The sequence below is a fragment of the Homo sapiens genome, chromosome 7, assembly GCF_000001405.40.
Source record: "Homo sapiens chromosome 7, GRCh38.p14 Primary Assembly".
Lineage (NCBI taxonomy): Eukaryota > Metazoa > Chordata > Mammalia > Primates > Hominidae > Homo > Homo sapiens.
In genome coordinates, this window is record NC_000007.14 from 146,116,420 (window position 1) to 146,133,974 (window position 17,555).

At 35.1% G+C, this 17,555-nt stretch overlaps 1 protein-coding gene across 2 annotated transcripts in view; it reads left to right on the plus strand.

Moving 5' to 3' along the window:
- The window catches only part of CNTNAP2 (contactin associated protein 2), a 2,304,198-nt gene continuing 2,287,024 nt past the window's right edge, over positions 382–17,555 (plus strand). For both annotated transcript variants that reach the window (NM_014141.6, XM_017011950.3), the window contains exon 1: positions 382–554. In NM_014141.6, coding sequence (NP_054860.1) covers positions 458–554 — 97 coding nt within the window. In that variant the 5' untranslated portion in view covers positions 382–457. The remainder of the gene's footprint in view (positions 555–17,555) is intronic.

Sequence of the window (17,555 nt, forward strand, 5' to 3'; positions counted from 1 at the left end):
GGCGGAGGGAGCGCTCGCCCGCAGTGGCAACAGCTGCACCACCGTCCCCGTCGCTCTGCCTTCCTCTTCTGCAGCCTCTGCTCTTCTGATTACCTCCCTCCCCCGTCCTTTGGTGATTTTTTTTTTTCAAGAAGGAGAGGGCGGGGTAGGTGTCCGTTCCCTCCCCTCTTCCCCCTCCTTTGCCTTCTTGGTTTGAATTTCCTCCCCCGGCGTTGCACTGGCACACAGTGCAAGAGGCAATACCCGCACGGAGGGAGAACGAAGGCTGAGACTCCCCTGCCGCTCCAAGCCCGGAAGAACTGGAGCCTGGAGGGGGGTGAGGGGAGAAGAGGAAGCGGGAGGGGCTTGGCTTCCTCGCGTATTTGAGGACAGCCCATCTCCCTTCAAGAACCCTACGGAGAGTCGGACTGCATCTCCGCAGCGAGCTCTTGGAGCGCCGCCGGCCGGGAGGCGAAGGATGCAGGCGGCTCCGCGCGCCGGCTGCGGGGCAGCGCTCCTGCTGTGGATTGTCAGCAGCTGCCTCTGCAGAGCCTGGACGGCTCCCTCCACGTCCCGTAAGTAGCCGTCTCCTCGCTCTGCTCTGGAGCAGTTTCAGTGCGGCATTGATGTTTGGCACCAGGGTATCAACTCCGAAGTGCATCGCAGTGCTGGCACCCTGATGTGTTTGTGTCTCCGCTGTCACACACTTGCAGCCACTGCAGTAGACAAACTCGAAACCCAGCGTTTCTGTTTTGGAAGAGACAGGGTTGTGACGCTGGTGATGTTTCTGGAAAGTTGTTCCTGGTCTTGGTGATCGGTTGGCAAGAGCTTGGCTAGAGAGACTGATGTAGATGGCAGCTTCTTAGGAGTTGTTTGTGCAGGGAGAGTTAACTGCATTTGGCTTAGGTAGGTCAGTGAATGAAAAGTGAAGACCATGGCAAAACCAAGTTTCTTATTTTTATTTATGGTTATAACTTAATGAGCACGGGGTTGAGGTTAACAAGAGGAGCATGTTTTAAACAGTTTGGGCACCTATAGGGTCTCTTTAACCTCTCCCGTTCCCTTAAAAAGTTAATGCCCATTTAGTACTTGCTTATTAAAATGGAAGGCAGCGAAATTGTAACTGAAATTGCTTTAATTCTTTGATACTTTGATATCATGGATATGACTGATGCAGTACGGTACTTGGGACACTCAGTGCAAAGCGTCGTTAATGTAGTAATAAACAGATTCTTAATAGGGTTTTCAGGAAAATAATTATATTCAATATGTATATCTCTGCATTTTAATCAACTGTGTGTGTGTGTTTGTGTGTGTGTGTGTTTAAGACTGCCCCTGTTTTCATGAGGTTTAGAAAGAAATGGAAGATTCTGGCCCATTTTCTGCATTCCTTTAGAAGTGCATACTGTGCATGTAGAGAGGAAATGCATGATTGTTCCTTTGGTTCAGAAAGAGTTAAACACTAGAAAGACTGCCTATAGGAATCTTAGGATAATATTCATAAGCGCATACTAGTTTCTGAGAATGAGTAAGTTGATAAAGAATTATCGTGGAGATTTCAGAGTTTAAAAGGAAGATTTTTTTGTCCATTTAGGAAAAGAAAAGTTTAATATTTTCCAGAATTCGTCATATGCGAAGTAGTCTTTGTTTCTAAGATTTTGGGATGTATTAATGCATCTTTGTTAATAATGATCTTATTGTAGTGGTAAATATCAACAGGAATAGCATTGAAAAAGGACATTATAAGTTGTAATAAGGAATCTACTATATAATATCCGGTTATGAGCCAGTATTACTGTTTTGACATATCTTCCTAAGTACAGTATTAGCTTTTCTTTTCCCACAATGTGTAAAGATAAGGAGATAAACTAACTGGCAATCTAAGTTTGTAATGAACTTGAAAACATTGTATAGCATTTTTTATAACACAAGTTAAATCACAAAGAGTTAAATATTGTTAATATTTATGTCAATTTTATAAATTTAAACAAATTTTGGGGATATAATGCTTGCTGTTGATATTTACACAAATATGTAACTCTATCACTGGGAAACTAGTTTGATGAAATTTCTGTTTCCATTTCAAGGTCTGGTTGTATAGAATTTCCTGCCACTTTTCCTGGAAAATAAACTCCTCATATATTAAATTTATTATATTCACTGATTGAAGGTCCTCATATCCAGGGTTTTTCCTGGGTTCTGTGTTCCATCATTCTGTATACTTTAATTTTGATGGGTCCATCTGAAACATCTGCCATGAGTAGCAAATGGAACACTGGCAGCCCTTGGGTTAATGCATTTTAAGATAAAAAAGTTGTTATTTCATAAATATTTTCTGAGTTTTCAACTTTATAGTTAGAATTTGAAGACAGAGAACATAGAAACAATTACTTTTAAGATGGTTAATAGTTATGGCCATTAAGATTTTTTATTAACTTGGCTTTCATTCTCTATTGTTTAAAAATGTGTAATGGCTTAATTAAGGTGGCTTTTTATTTCGTTTGAATTTAAACTGTGTGACCAAAATGCAAAGTTGCCCTATATCCTGGAAATGAATTAAATAATAAGGATGCTACAGAACTTTATTGATTAGAATGAGTTTCATGGATTCAGTACTTTAAATATCAACTGTACTTTACATTAATGAACATTTTTATTTACATTATATATAGCTCTGAAGAAAAGTATGATAGTTATATTCTTAATATAAAACATTCAAAGGAGAAAAAGATGGAAACTACATGAATCTAAGATAATGAGCAACTCAACCAGGAGAGGTCATCACAAGACAAAAAGTAGCATGAAAATCTAAAACTATCATTTTTCTTTGGTACACATTTTTAAAATGTGATGAGTATGCTAAAACTTTCTGTTCCTAAATACCTTTTTAATATGAGGGACAGAAGATGTTTATTTCACAACAACTGCATTTCAAATATGTATTTGCTTATGACTTATTTCTTTTTCTCTGTCGACAGACATATAAAAACTGTTAATACTATGTGTTGTACAAGCAGACTAGAATAAACTTGAAAACAAAGCTCATCACTATGGTTATGTAAAAATATAATCTAATTTCTTTGCAGATAGCGAAAATGAACTGCTGCTGAGCTGATGTAACAAATCGTGTATCTTCCCTTCCTGTAAATGTAGATACACGGGACACACGTGGGAAGTTTAAAGAAAATATTTCACTCTTAGGGAGTTGCATTTATTTGAACATATTATAAAGACCTTGATGGTGCAGTTCTAAATGATGAGGAGATTAAGCTAGCGCTTAATAAATTCACTTTTTAGAGTTAACTGAATTTTCACTTAAATAAATGATCTCTCATAAAGGCCAATTTACATCATTTAGTAGAACTATTAACCTATAATTTCATTGACCAACACATTTGGGAAATGTGTTTTGAATTAATTCACATATTCTCTAACAAATACGATTTTATACGTGTATATATACACACACATGAATATATATGTGTATAAATATATATGTATTTGTTCATATGTTTTATAAAAACATTTGAATACATGTTATAAAGTACATAGATACATATTTAATATAGCACATATATTAAGTATTATATGTAAAAATGTGTATATTTATATATTTTCTAAAACACCATTCAAGGAATTTAAGTTGTTTACAAGTTTATAGAAAGGTCTTTTTCCAGTGCAATTATTTTAAGTAACTAACGCAACAATATTAAGCAATAGTATATTAGTCTATTTTCTCTTCCTCAATTCATATACTTCTCCCAAAATGGTGTATTTTAAATGTAAAATATGTAAATGCATATAAAAGCAAATACTGCTGGTTTATAGAGACCTTGAACATAATAATGAACTTGTCTTAATGAAAACAATTTAAACTTAAAAGGAGCTTTAGGCAAGCAAAATTCATTGGTTGATAAAGCATAGCACATTATTTGCTTAATGCAACTAATAATTATTAACTAATTGGAGAGAAATGTATAATCTCGATTTTATTATAGGCACGGATATTCAGGAAGTAAGAATCATTGTTCAAATTTTACTCTTTACCATCAATATATGGCAAAATTGGGCAAAAAAATTAATCCACAAATTTAATTTAGGTCTTATTAACCTTTATGCAGTTATAAACCTACAACGTATCATTTTAGATGATATCAAAGTTGTTTGGTGCATATCATATTTTAAATCTTACAGTTATGTGCCCCATAATGACATTTCAGTTCAATGATGGACCACGTGTATGTTGGTGGTTCCATAAAATTATAATGGAGCTGTCATATATAGGTGTGCCATTTTTCATCTTGTATATTATATTTTTACTGTATCTTTTCCATGTTTAAGTATGATGAGATACACAAAGAGGCATTGTGTTATAATTGCCTATAGTATTCAGTGTAATAACATGCAGTACAGGTTTGTAGCCCAGAAGCAACAACCCATACCAAATAGTCTATGCTATGTGTGTAGTAGGCTACACTGTCTAGGTTTGTGAGTGTGTACTCTATGATGTTGGCACAAAGACAAAATTGCCTAAGGATACATTTCTCAAAATATATCCTTATTGTTAGGAAATGCATGATGATATATGTTTTTTGTCTATTTTAAGTGGGAAAACCTTTCAAGTTCTATAATTTCTTTGAGATTTAATTCACTGTTCCTTATTAGTAAATTCTTCTAGACAAAAACTTACTCAAATGTCTTAAAGTTTACATAAAGCTTCCTTTTTTTTTTTTTTTTTTTTTTTTTTTGAGACGGAGTCTTGCTCTGTCGCCCAGGCTGGAGTGCAGTGGCCCGATCTCAGTTCACTGCAAGCTCCGCCTCCTGGGTTCACGCCATTCTCCTGCCTCAGCCTCCCGAGTAGCTGGGACTACAGGCGCCCACCACCATGCCCGGCTAATTTTTAGTCTTGTGAATCTTTTTTATGATTGAAAGAGAAGAAATGTGACATGTCTACACATGTCATCTGTTTTTAAAAAGTAGATTTTTGTATTTGTTGTAAATGGTATACAGAATCAGGAGAGAATCTAGGCTCAGAAATTCTTAATTCAAATGTGCTTTTCTTTAAAATATTAAACATATGGAGATCCAACTTGTGCAAGTTGTCTGTTTAGTGATTGATGTCAGTGGGATGAAGAAATAAAACATGTACTTTAAAGATTTTCCCATCTCTAGTCCTGATTTGTGAAGTGCTTTACTTTATCATTTTTTACTACTTGCAAAGTTATAAAACAGCGTATATAGTAATTTTAAGCCTCAAAACCAGTGTTGTGTGAAATAAAATAAATTTTTATATTTATATCTGTACCAGTATCTGAAACTGGCTGTTACCTGTTTCTAGAGAGACACATATTTTAAGATAAGTAGTTATCAGAAACATAAGGTATATTTCTACAACCAGTATTGGGCTGCTGAAATAAATTATATGCTTATTTTTGCCATTTTAATAAGTAAGAATAATGATGCAATCATTTATATACAGCTGTTAATTTTCAAATGAAAGCCTTGAAAATAATACTTGTAACAGAGTGATTCACTAAAACACTGGATTTTCCCATCTCCTGGGCTCTGTAGAAGCTATATGTTTTAGTTCTGAGCAGATAAGGATGTTGGAATGTGGAGGTGCTTCCTCTTTCTCCATCCTAACAGTTCATTTTATGGGAAGAAATGTCCGTCTATCACACTCTTAGAGTCTATGTCTACAGTTCATTCGTTCCTTCCTATGTTAGGTAGAGTTACTTATCTGTTTGGTGACTATGGGAAAAGGACCTAGATGTGCTTAGCTCAGCCCCTCCTTTCTCCTTCCAGGCTGCCTGCAGAAAGAATAGATTCTGCTGAACGATAGATAAAAGTAGGCTTTGCCTCTGCACTAATAGTGATAGCGCGAAGAGCCTTATGGTGTTCGGTTCTTCCTATGGCTTGAGACTCTGTTTAATTTTAGAAATAAGGTTAATGAATCCCACTGTATCACACATTTAAGCCTTATTCTTTTGTATCAGCAATACTTATATAAAGAATGTTATTTCCTCTCTGTGAGTTATTTTCTAATCTAGAACTCAGAGAAGGGACTGAGATTGACTGTACTCAGTAAAACCACAAATATATTGAAATTGCCAAAAATAAGATTGATATTAAACTAAATGAACATGAAATAATTTCTGCATAGTTTAGAAACTAGTAAAGAATAAGACTTGGTTTTTCCATTGATATTGAGTTGAAGATTTGGTGTTACTCTGGTTAGGACTTCCAAACTCTCCCATTCATTCATTCATTCATTCATATTCCTACCCAGTGCTATCCGTGGTATTATTTTACAGAGATGCTTAGAATACCGTTTCTTTATCTGTGGTAAATAACATTGCCATTTAAAATACAGCCTATTTACAAACTTTAGCCAGTACACATCCAATTTCATCCTGTCCATGTAACTATTTAGTAAATTATATATGCCTTTAGTTGGCTGTTACATCATGATCCTTCTGTAAAATCCTGAAGGTTAAATGTTTTAAGCCAATTATTCTTTCCAACAAAGCATTTGCACTTAGAAAACAAAATTGATTCTTTCTTCAATTGTAAGTTTTGAAAAATATCTTCTTAAACTCTTCTTTAGTTCACTTTGGAGGTAGCTATTCATAATAACAGCTTGAAGTAACTGATTTTTTATGACACTGCAGATTTTAAAGCCTCCCCTGATAGTAGGAAATCTAGATATAAAGATGTGGTTGTTGGCTCTGAATTTGCTTGCTGAAGATCACATATTTTGGGTATACTGTAAAAATGTTGAAAAAATACAGAGGAGCTCCTGGGGGCCGTATTCTGTATTTACCTTGTGATTTAGGTTTGCTTGAAATACCCTCATAAACATAAATAGTGATATATGCTTTAATGTTTTTATGTTTAGGAAAGAGGTGAAATTAGATTCTGAGAATACTTTTACCAGGAAAAATTCCCCAAACATATATAAGTTTTTCCTTACCTTTTCTAGTACATTCACAACCTTCTTCATCTGCACTGGGATGGTGATCTGGAAATGTGAATCATAGAAAATGGCAGGCAATAGAGGTGTGACTGGCATACGCACTGTCAAAATTACTAAACCTGTGTTGTCTGGAACATCTAAGATGGAATCAAGTTACATAAAGTTTAGTTAAATTCAGGAAGGATTTGTTCACCTCTATGCATTAGATGTCATATTGAAATAGTATGTGAAAAGGAAAATCTTGCCTGGACTCACAATTTTTATTTACTGTTATAATGTCATCTATGCTGTTCAATTATAGTATTATTTGAAAGGAATACATGAAAAAAATAATAGGCACAGTTTGTATTGTTAAAAAAACAGTCTGTTAAGTGGTGAAATACCATGATATGCCAAATAAAATAATAACTCTAAGAAAATTGTCTTAAAATTAAAGGTGCTTCTATTTTTAATAGAAAAGGCTTGAAACCAACCCAAATGCCCATCAGTAATAGACTGGACAAAGAAAATGTGACAAGTACACACCATGGAATACTATGCAGCCATAAAAAAGGACGAGTTCATTTCTTTGCATGGACACGGATGAAGCTGGAAACCATCGTTGTCAGCAAACTAACACAGGAACACAAAACCAAACGTTGCATGTTCTCACTCATAAGTGGGAGTTGAATAATGAGAACACCTCAGCACAGGGAGGGGAACATCACACACCCGGGCCTGTTGAGGGGTGGAGGGCTAGGGGAGGGATAGCATTAGGAGAAATACCTAATGTAGATAACGGGTTGATGGGTGCAGCAAACCACCATGGCACATGTATACCTGTGTAACAAACCTTCACGTTCTGCACATGTATCCCAGAACTTAAAGTAAAATTTAAAAAAAAAAGTGCTTATTGTCACTTCTATATCATAGACTGAAGTAGTTATTTTGAACTAACAGAAAACACATGTGGATTAAATTTTATCACTGTTAACTGATTTTTTCTAAGCAGTCACCTCTTAATGGGAACCAAATTATTAAGTAACATAAGTACAGACTGTCTATATATATATGTCTTTTTCAGACATTGGTCAAAAATTTATAAACAGAACTACATGAAAAAATTTCAGCCTAATTATGTCACATAGTGAAATTATAGCATATTTTATGGGTCTTATTTTTAAAAATTTATTAAGTACGTGTTAAATAATGGCCTATGATGCATTAAATTACTTAATTGCTAATAAATTCTAACTTAAAATGTAAATTGTTACGTAGCATATTTGAAACATTTTTTGGTTCAAATAAAAATATGTCTGGACTATAAAATATGACTATCAGGTTTTCAGATTATGAAACTATTATACTAGCTTAGTGTTTTTAATGCCAACCAACTGAAGAAAACATGATTCGGGTGTTTTTTTCTATGTATTCATAGCAACAATAACACAATGAGTTCGATGCTGCCATCAATACTAATGTTACTAATTCTCATGGTATTTTACTCAGTGGATTTGAATGTGGCCATAGAATCTTTCTCCACACAATATGCCAGACAGCCACGTATAATCCCATGAGATTTGGTATTCAATATAAAACTTTACTTTTTTACTCAAGTTATATATATTGCCACCACCAGCAGTTTTTCAGCTAATAAAGTATACTTATGATTTAAGTCACTTGGTTAATGTCCTCATCCCTAAAGAATATGTTAAAACGAATGCTTAACTTATAGTAGAAGAGATTTTCAATGGCAGTAATGAAATTTCCAAAAATGAAATTTAATCATGCCTCATGCACTTCTGTAGTATATGTAAGTTTTATTTATATATCTTAACGTAAGCATTTAAGTTATTAAGTTATGACTAGTTAAAAGGAAATAGTAGCATAGTTAATTGTGTTTTTGTATGTCCACAGTACAGAATTAAGAATAACTATTTTGGCCAGGTGCGGTGGCTCACGCCTGTAATCCCAGCACTTTGGGAGGCTGAGACAGGCGGATCACGAGGTCAGGAGATCGAGAACATCCTGGCTAACACGGTGAAACCCCATCTCTACTAAAAATACAAAAAATTAGCCGGGCGTTGTGGCGGGCGCCTGTAGTCCCAGCTACTTGGAAGGCTAAGGCAGGAGAATGGCGTGAACCCAGGAGGCGGAGCTTGCAGTGAGCCGAGATCGCGCCACTGCACTCCAGCCTGGGTGACAGAGCAGAGCGAGACTCCGTCTCCAAAAAAAAAAAAAAAAAAAAAAAAAGAATAACTATTTTATTGTGTCAGTTGACAAAAATAGTACCGTGTCAGAGATAAAAATGTGCCGTGGTGGGGTATTAACATTGCTTCTACCATTAAGAACATAAACAAAAACAACCTTATTCCAATATTCTAGATACTGAGGGGGTTATTTTTGTGGAATTGATTCCAAAGACAGGGATGCTTGATCAAAGAAGATGTTTAGTTTTTGGCTAATAAATGTTGCCTGATTGAGTTCCACAAATTCTGTAACAATTTACATTTTCAGCATCAATCAATGAGTGTCCTTTTCTAGAACTCCAGGCAGCAGTACATATTATACTTATAAAACGTTCTGCTTGTATTACGTAAATAGCTAATATTTGTTGTGTTGACTTCTTATTAAATGTTTCTTCCCAGCCTTTCAAATCAGGCACTACTCTTTATGTGTACTAGGTCATTTATTTCTTATAACAATGCTTCAGTTTGCAAATGAAAAAATCAGAGACACATGGAGAAGTAACTTCCCTGGGCCACCAGCTTGGCCTATTTCCAGGTCCAGTGCTCTTCACTGTGGCATAGCTGGCTGAGAGTGAAGTGCTGTCTCTGTGTTCAAGTTCTCTAACTAAGAAGTTTCAGCTTACATCTAGGCAACATTTTAAGGCTTGATTGCTTGTATATAAAGGAAAAAGCCTATTGGCATAATGTTTCTATCTTTTTGTTTACTTATTCCTTGATGACACTGTCATATGTTCTGGAGACTTAAAAATTACATTGGTAAAAAATAAAGAAATATATTTGAAATAAAGAGAGGAATGCAGCTCTTTCAATGGTAGCACATTAAATCATAATATATATGTCATTTTTGTTCTTCTTCACAATAAGGTACTTTTGCAGTGTAGTTCTATCATTTGAGTACTATTGAAATACATGTAATAGTCATGTAGTGAAAACATTTATTTAAAGCTATGTAAAATATTTCTTAAAATGCTTTGTCAGGTATACATAAAAGCTGTCTTTAAATCAGTTCTCAGGAAATGTTGAAGTCTGTATCGAAAACTGTAAATATGATTGCTATTACTAAAGTTAAAAGATGGTAATTGTTTAATCTATAAGCACAGTTTTGAGTATTCATTTCATACAATAGCTAATCCATGAAGCTTTTCTTGAGAGTGCTGTTGAGAAAATAACTTTTTCCTTTGCTTTCATGGCAGTGGGAAAATATTTGTCTTTAAAATATTTGCCAGTCCTAATGCTTAAATATTTCTTGTATCCATCCGCTGCTCTCCATTCCTATCACAGCTTCTATAGTTAAGATTTTCAGCATTTCCCTCCAGGCATTAATTTAGTAGCCTCCTGGTATGTCTCCCGGATTCTAATCTTCCCCCTCTAGCTTATCATCTATATCTATGCCAGAAATACTTTCCCAAAACACAAATCTTGTTATAGTACTGCATTTCTCTAGTTCTTCCCTGTCTCTTAAATTTAGTCTCCTCCTAACCCAACATTTGCACCCTATAATCTAACCGACCATACTGAGATCTTTGCAGTTTCTCTAACACAACATGCTGTTTCGAATCATATTTCTCTTATACCTTGTTACATTTTGTCCCCTCCTTTCATTTTTCCTGTTTTATCTATGCTGTTTTAGAGGAAACTCATTTACGGTCCAAGCCTCAGAATCTTGGAGCAGACTGATGTATCAACACCTCCCTGTGGCAATTTGCTCTAATCACAGGTGAAATACTAAGACGCAGCAGGCAAATTCTTTGGTTTCTGAACTTATAAGGAACACAGTGATCACAAATAATGAAAACCACCTCCAATTATCTGATATTAAAGTGAGAAATTACCCCATAGTATCGACAACAGAAGGAAGGCGAGAAATATATTTTCAAAGAATAAACCACAAATATTTTCCTCATTTTATAAGTAAATGTGTATCTATCATAAGGGAAATTTGAAACCATGCTGTGAAAGCTTACAACTTCTGCAACCCTTTTTCTACCGGATTTTATTTTAAAAGATTTTCTCTGCTTTTCTTAAGCCACATGGGTGATCACGTGCCTTTAAACCCAAGCCTGACTGTCCTTTCCACAAGCTATTATCTGAAGAATTATTTGTTATCTGCATGCAAATTAAAGACGTGTCAACAAAATAATTATTGCATCTAACAAGTACTTTAAATAGAGTACTTAAGATGTCACCAAATCTTCTAAATGATAGCTGTAGCTTCTGAAAAACTTGATAACTATATATATTTAGTGTGTAATAATCCAGCAGATGCGTTGATATTGTTGAAGTTGTTATGAAATGTCAATGAATTTCATTTCCACTTTTAATATGACAAAAATATAATTTTATAAGTATAAAAATAGTTACTTCTATTCTATTTGTTTATATTTTAAACTCCGTCTTCATCCTTACCTTTGCAACTTAGTACACACTTCTGAACCATTTCAAAGTTGGCCAGTCTAGCGAAGCCTGTTTCAAATTTTATATTCTTCACAATGATCCCTGCAGTGATGCCTACTAAAAACACATTACTCTCTTTTCTATTAGTCCACAATCTGCATGAGCAGAGCCTGTATTTTTTCCCTTAGGCTGATAGGTATTAGGGAATGGTTGTATTAAAGGAACTAGACTTTAGTAAACATGTTTCATCATATTAGGTACTGTACTGGTTGCATTATACCATTACATGAAATTAGCCCAAATACCTCTGTGCTGTAATATTCAAAGTATAAGGATGCTCAAGCATTTTAAAGCTCACTGGTTCCATCTTTATACAGTTCTTACTTTTGTCAAGTCCTTCCTTGCATTGATACAGATTTACACTCCCATAAATTCCAGCCAGTAGTTCTAGTTGGGCTTCTCAAATAAAAGCTTAATATTTACCCAATATTCTACTGCCGTAAAATACTTGAAGACAAATATAGAATCTAATTAAATATAATTTAAGACTTAGTCGCTACTACTTTTATAGATAGCCAACTAATACCTTGAAGACAAACACATTCCTTAAAACACTGTGATTTATATTTACTTATGTCCTCCAAATTACCCAAATATTTCTAGGTACACAACCAGTGTTAAATAAATACAATTGAAAATGGAATTGAAATGGGTTAGCTCTGTATACAAATTGTTTCTTAAAGTGCTTATAGCTAGGTTATAGCAACAAATATACATTGTTGTGTTTTGATAGCTAAAAGCATCATACTAAGAAGTATTATAATTGTAATATAATGTTAGTTGCAAACAAGTGTGTCTGTAAGTAATCTTGGTATTACAGAAAAAAAAACTGCCTTAAAACTTACATATCTGTATGAGTCAAAACCAAAAATGAAACAGAAATATTTAAAGGGACTGTTGTTTAAAAGTAATAGGACAACTACAGTTATTTTAAAAGATAGTTTATACTTATTTGCTCAGTGTGAAATAAAACATTTTTAAATTTTAATTTATTATCTACTCTTTGCCCAAAGTATATTAGAAAAATGTTACTGCAATTTGAGTAGTCTTCATATTGTGATAAAATAGGTAATTATTATATGCAATAATCTGAGGCATTTTCGTTTTACAGAGCATATAATCACCCACGTATCAATTTTTGGAATTTAAAATGTGTTGTTGGCACAATTAGAATCATGTATCTACTTTCAAAGAGAGATTTCAGAATATTGCAAATAAAAATGACATTGTTTCTTTTATCAAATTGGCATCAATAGGGCCTTTTTTTCAAAAAAAGCTTTTAGATCTGCTATTTGTTCATTTATATGTGTATAATTACAGTATTCAGAGGATCTCTCATGCTGTGTTTGTTTCCACATATGGATTTTCAAATGACAAAGTCTCAAGTGGTGGCGCTAAAGACAAACCATGCTAGCTACTCAAGCATTTCCTTCCTGGAGTTGTACTGTGTCAACTGCTCCCTAAGAAATGGGTAAAGAGGGACTACTCAGAAACATGCATTGAGCATCAGCATGTTTTTGAAAGATTAATCTTCTAGACCTGGAACTAAAAGTATCTTCCAGTTATTTTCTTTATTATCCACTTTATCAGCTTCCACATAACACATTCAGTTTTCTACATTTTAGTTTAAAAATTGCCATTTAATTCTATGCTTCTATGAAGTCACATATCCTACTTATGCTTTCTTAATTTCAAAATTATTTGCACTGTCCATTTTATAATATTTTATCTATCTTAATAATTTACCTTAAAGTTCTCTTTTATTGAATAGGTATGACAACATAGAAATTAAAATTATTGAATCATTCCAATTAGTCCACAGGTAAGGTCATCAGTGAGTGATTAAGGAAACTCTTTCTGTTATAACATTTTAGCTAAAACCTAAAGAAAAAGCCAAGCAAACAGCAGGAAAAGACTGTTCCAAGAAAAAGAGGACAACCTCACAATTCCAACATTGGCCAAGTTTGGAAGTCACTTTGATGAGGAGATATTTAGTGGTTTTGGAATTAGTCTTCTGTTAAACGTGTAATGAAAAGAAAATTTTGAAAGAGTAAATTATCCCGCTTAATTGTCTATCAGCAAATAGAAAAGAAATTTTCACTGGTTAGAAATATAGGCAGTCGGGCCGGGCGTGGTGGCTCATGCGTATTATCCCAGCACTTTGGGAGGCCGAGGCAAGAGGATTGCTTGAGGCCAGAAGTTTGAGACCAGCCTGAACAACATAGCAAGACTTTCTCTCTACAAAGAAATATTTAAAAACTAGCCAAGTGTGGTGGTGTGTGTCTGTACTGTAGTCCTAGCTACTGGAGAGGCTGAGGTGGAAGGATTGCGTGAGCCCCGGAGTTCAAAGCTACAGTGAATAATGATTGCACCACTGCATTTCAGCCAGCTGAGACAAGAGTGAGACTCTGCCTCTTAATAATTTTTTTAAAAAGAATTTAGGTCAGTATTAAAGTTTGTGATAATTCAATTATATTTAGCTTAGAGAATTTTGCTAATAAAAATAACTTTGATAATTTAACACATATGTATGTTATTGAAACAGCAAGCATTTTGAAGAGGCAATTTTCTAAATAACCTTTATTTCAAAGTGTATTGTTTATTGCTGTGTTAGTTTGTTTTCACACTGCTATAAAGGAATACCAGAGACTGGGTAATTGATAAAGGGAAGAGGTGTAATTGACTCACAGTTCTGCATGGCTGGGGAGGCCTCAGACAACTTACAATCATGGCAGAAGGCAAAGGGGAAGCAAAGGCACGTCTTACATGGTGGCAGATGAGAGAGAAGAGCATGAAGCGGGAGGATCCCCACACTTAGGAAACAACCAGATCTTGTGAGAATTCACTCACTATCATTTGAACAGCATAGGGGAACCATCCCTATGATCCAGTCACCCCCAACCAGGTTTCACCCTTGGCACTTGGGGATTAAGAGGGTTACAATTCAAGATGAGATTTGGGTGGGTTCACAGAGCCAAACCATATCAATCGCTGACTTTAAAGAAAACGAATAATATTGTTTCCAATCTTTACATAGTTTCACATAACATTTTTGAGAGTATAACTGTAACCCAACATTTACAATATATTTGTAGTTATTTTTTAATGTGAATAAAGGTAATATGACTCATATTCTTAAGAATTTCCCCTTGGCATTACTATGTTCTACTGTTTCAAAAGTTTGCTTACTTTAATAAGATTTCAATTATTTGGATTGTTAATACATTGAGATAGCGACTGAGGTTTATTCTCTCATTTAACTTATTTTTCATCCTATAAATGTAAGGTGTACAATATAATATTTTGATATACAGAGTAAACTGATTACTAAAATCAGAACACTAATATATTCATTATCTCACATAGTTTTTATTAGAGAGGTATGCATTTATAAGCTGCCAACAAGTCCAAGGATTGTTTTAAAATGTATCTTTCATTCTTATTACATTTGTGACTTCCTGGGTTCCATGCCAATTGTTTGTTTTTAAGAAATGTAGTGTTATAACAAGATTGTTTCAGAACTTCAATAATATGCACCTTCAAATAGAATATTATAGGTCTTGCTTTATAATTTGTAAACTTTCAGCATCTTTGCGGCTTAACTTTGCAACATACTTCAAAGACTTAGGCTTCATCTAATTTGACATAAAATAAACAATAACCAGCAAGTACTAGATGATTATGCATCTGATATGGTTTGGCTCTGTGTCCCCAAACAAATCTTATCTTGAATTGTAATTTCCACGTGTCGAGGGAGGGAGGTAATTGGATTATGAGCGCGGTTTCCCCCATGCTGTTCTCGTGATAGTGAGTGAGTCTCAATCTGATGGTGTTAAAAGTGGCAGTTGTTTCCTGTGCTCGAATTTACTCTCTCCTGCCACCTTGTGAAGAAGGTGTCTGCTTTCCTTTCTGCCGTGATTGTAAGTTTCCTTAGGACTCCCCAGTTATGTGGAACAGTGAGTCAATTAAACTTTCTTTGTTTATAAATTACCCAATCTCAGGTAGATTCTTTATAGCATTGCGAGAATGGACTAATACAGAATCTGTAATAAACTCATGCAGTATCTGTATCTCAGATTGTATCTGAGATTACAGTCTCTGCTAAAATACGTTCTTTACAGATGATCAATTTACTTAGAACATAGGCCAATAAGTGGTTATACACAGATGTCTGTTGGCCTTGAATAATAGCACTGGCCATTGTCAGAGTTGGTATTGGGGAGGTTGGTGTATAAAGAGTACGAACTTCATAGAGCAGCAATTCTCATATGCTAATATGCATATAAACTACCTGGCAGATTCTGATTCAGTAAATCTGGAGTGGAACCTATAATGTAACATTTATTTATTTATTTGTTTATTTATTTTTTTATTATACTTTAAGTTTTAGGGTACATGTGCACATTGTGCAGGTTAGTTACATATGTATACATGTGCCATGCTGGTGCACTGCACCAACTAACTCGTCATCTAGCATTAGGTATATCTCCCAATGCTATCCCTCCCCCCTCCCCCCACCCCACAACAGTCCCCAGAGTGTGATATTCCCCTTCCTGTGTCCATGTGATCTCATTGTTCAATTCCCACCTATGAGTGAGAATATGCGGTGTTTGGTTTTTTGTTCTTGCGATAGTTTACTGAGAATGTTTTCCAATTTCATCCATGTCCCTACAAAGGACATGAACTCATCATTTTTTATGGCTGCATAGTATTCCATGGTGTATATGTGCCACATTTTCTTAATCCAGTCTATCGTTGTTGGACATTTGGGTTGGTTCCAAGTCTTTGCTATTGTGAATAATGCCGCAATAAACATACATGTGCATGTGTCTTTATAGCAGCATGATTTATAGTCCTTTGGGTATATACCCAGTAATGGGATGGCTGGGTCAAATGGTATTTCCAGTTCTAGATCCCTGAGGAATCGCCACACTGACTTCCACAATGGTTGAACTAGTTTACAGTCCCACCAACAGTGTAAAAGTGTTCCTATTTCTCCACATCCTCTCCAGCACCTGTTGTTTCCTGACTTTTTAATGATTGCCATTCTAACTGGTGTGAGATGGTATCTCGTTGTGGTTTTGATTTGCATTTCTCTGATGGCCAGTGATGATGAGCATTTTTTCATGTGTTTTTTGTTTGCATAAATGTCTTCTTTTGAGAAGTGTCTGTTCATGTCCTTTGCCCACTTTTTGATGGAGTTGTTTGTTTTTTTCTTGTAAATTTGTTTGAGTTCATTGTAGATTCTCGATATTAGCCCTTTGTCAGATGAGTAGGTTGTGAAAATTTTCTCCCATTTTGTAGGTTGCCTGTTCACTCTGATGGTTGTTTCTTTTGCTGTGCAGAAGCTCTTTAGTTTAATTAGATCCCATTTGTCAATTTTGGCTTTTGTTGCCCTTGCTTTTGGTGTTTTAGACATGAAGTCCTTGCCCATGCCTATGTCCTGAATGGTAATGCCTAGGTTTTCTTCTAGGGTTTTTATGGTTTTAGGTCTAATGTTTAAGTCTTGAATCCATCTTGAATTGATTTTTGTATAAGGTGTAAGGAAGGGATCCAGTTTCAGCTTTCTACATATGGCTAGCCAGTTTTCCCAGCACCATTTATTAAATAGGGAATCCTTTCCCCATTGCTTGTTTTTCTCAGGTTTGTCAAAGGTCAGATAGTTGTAAATATGTGGCGTTATTTCTGCAGGCTCTGTTCTGTTCCATTGATCTATATCTCTGTTTTGGTACCAGTACCATGCTGTTTTGGTTACTGTAGCCTTGTAGTATAGCTTGAAGTCAGGTAGTGTGATGCCTCCAGCTTTGTTCTGTTGGCTTAGGATTGACTTGGCGATGCGGGCTCTTTTTTGGTTCCATATGAACTTTAAAGTAGTTTTTTCCAATTCTGTGAAGAAAGGCATTGGTAGCTTGATGGGG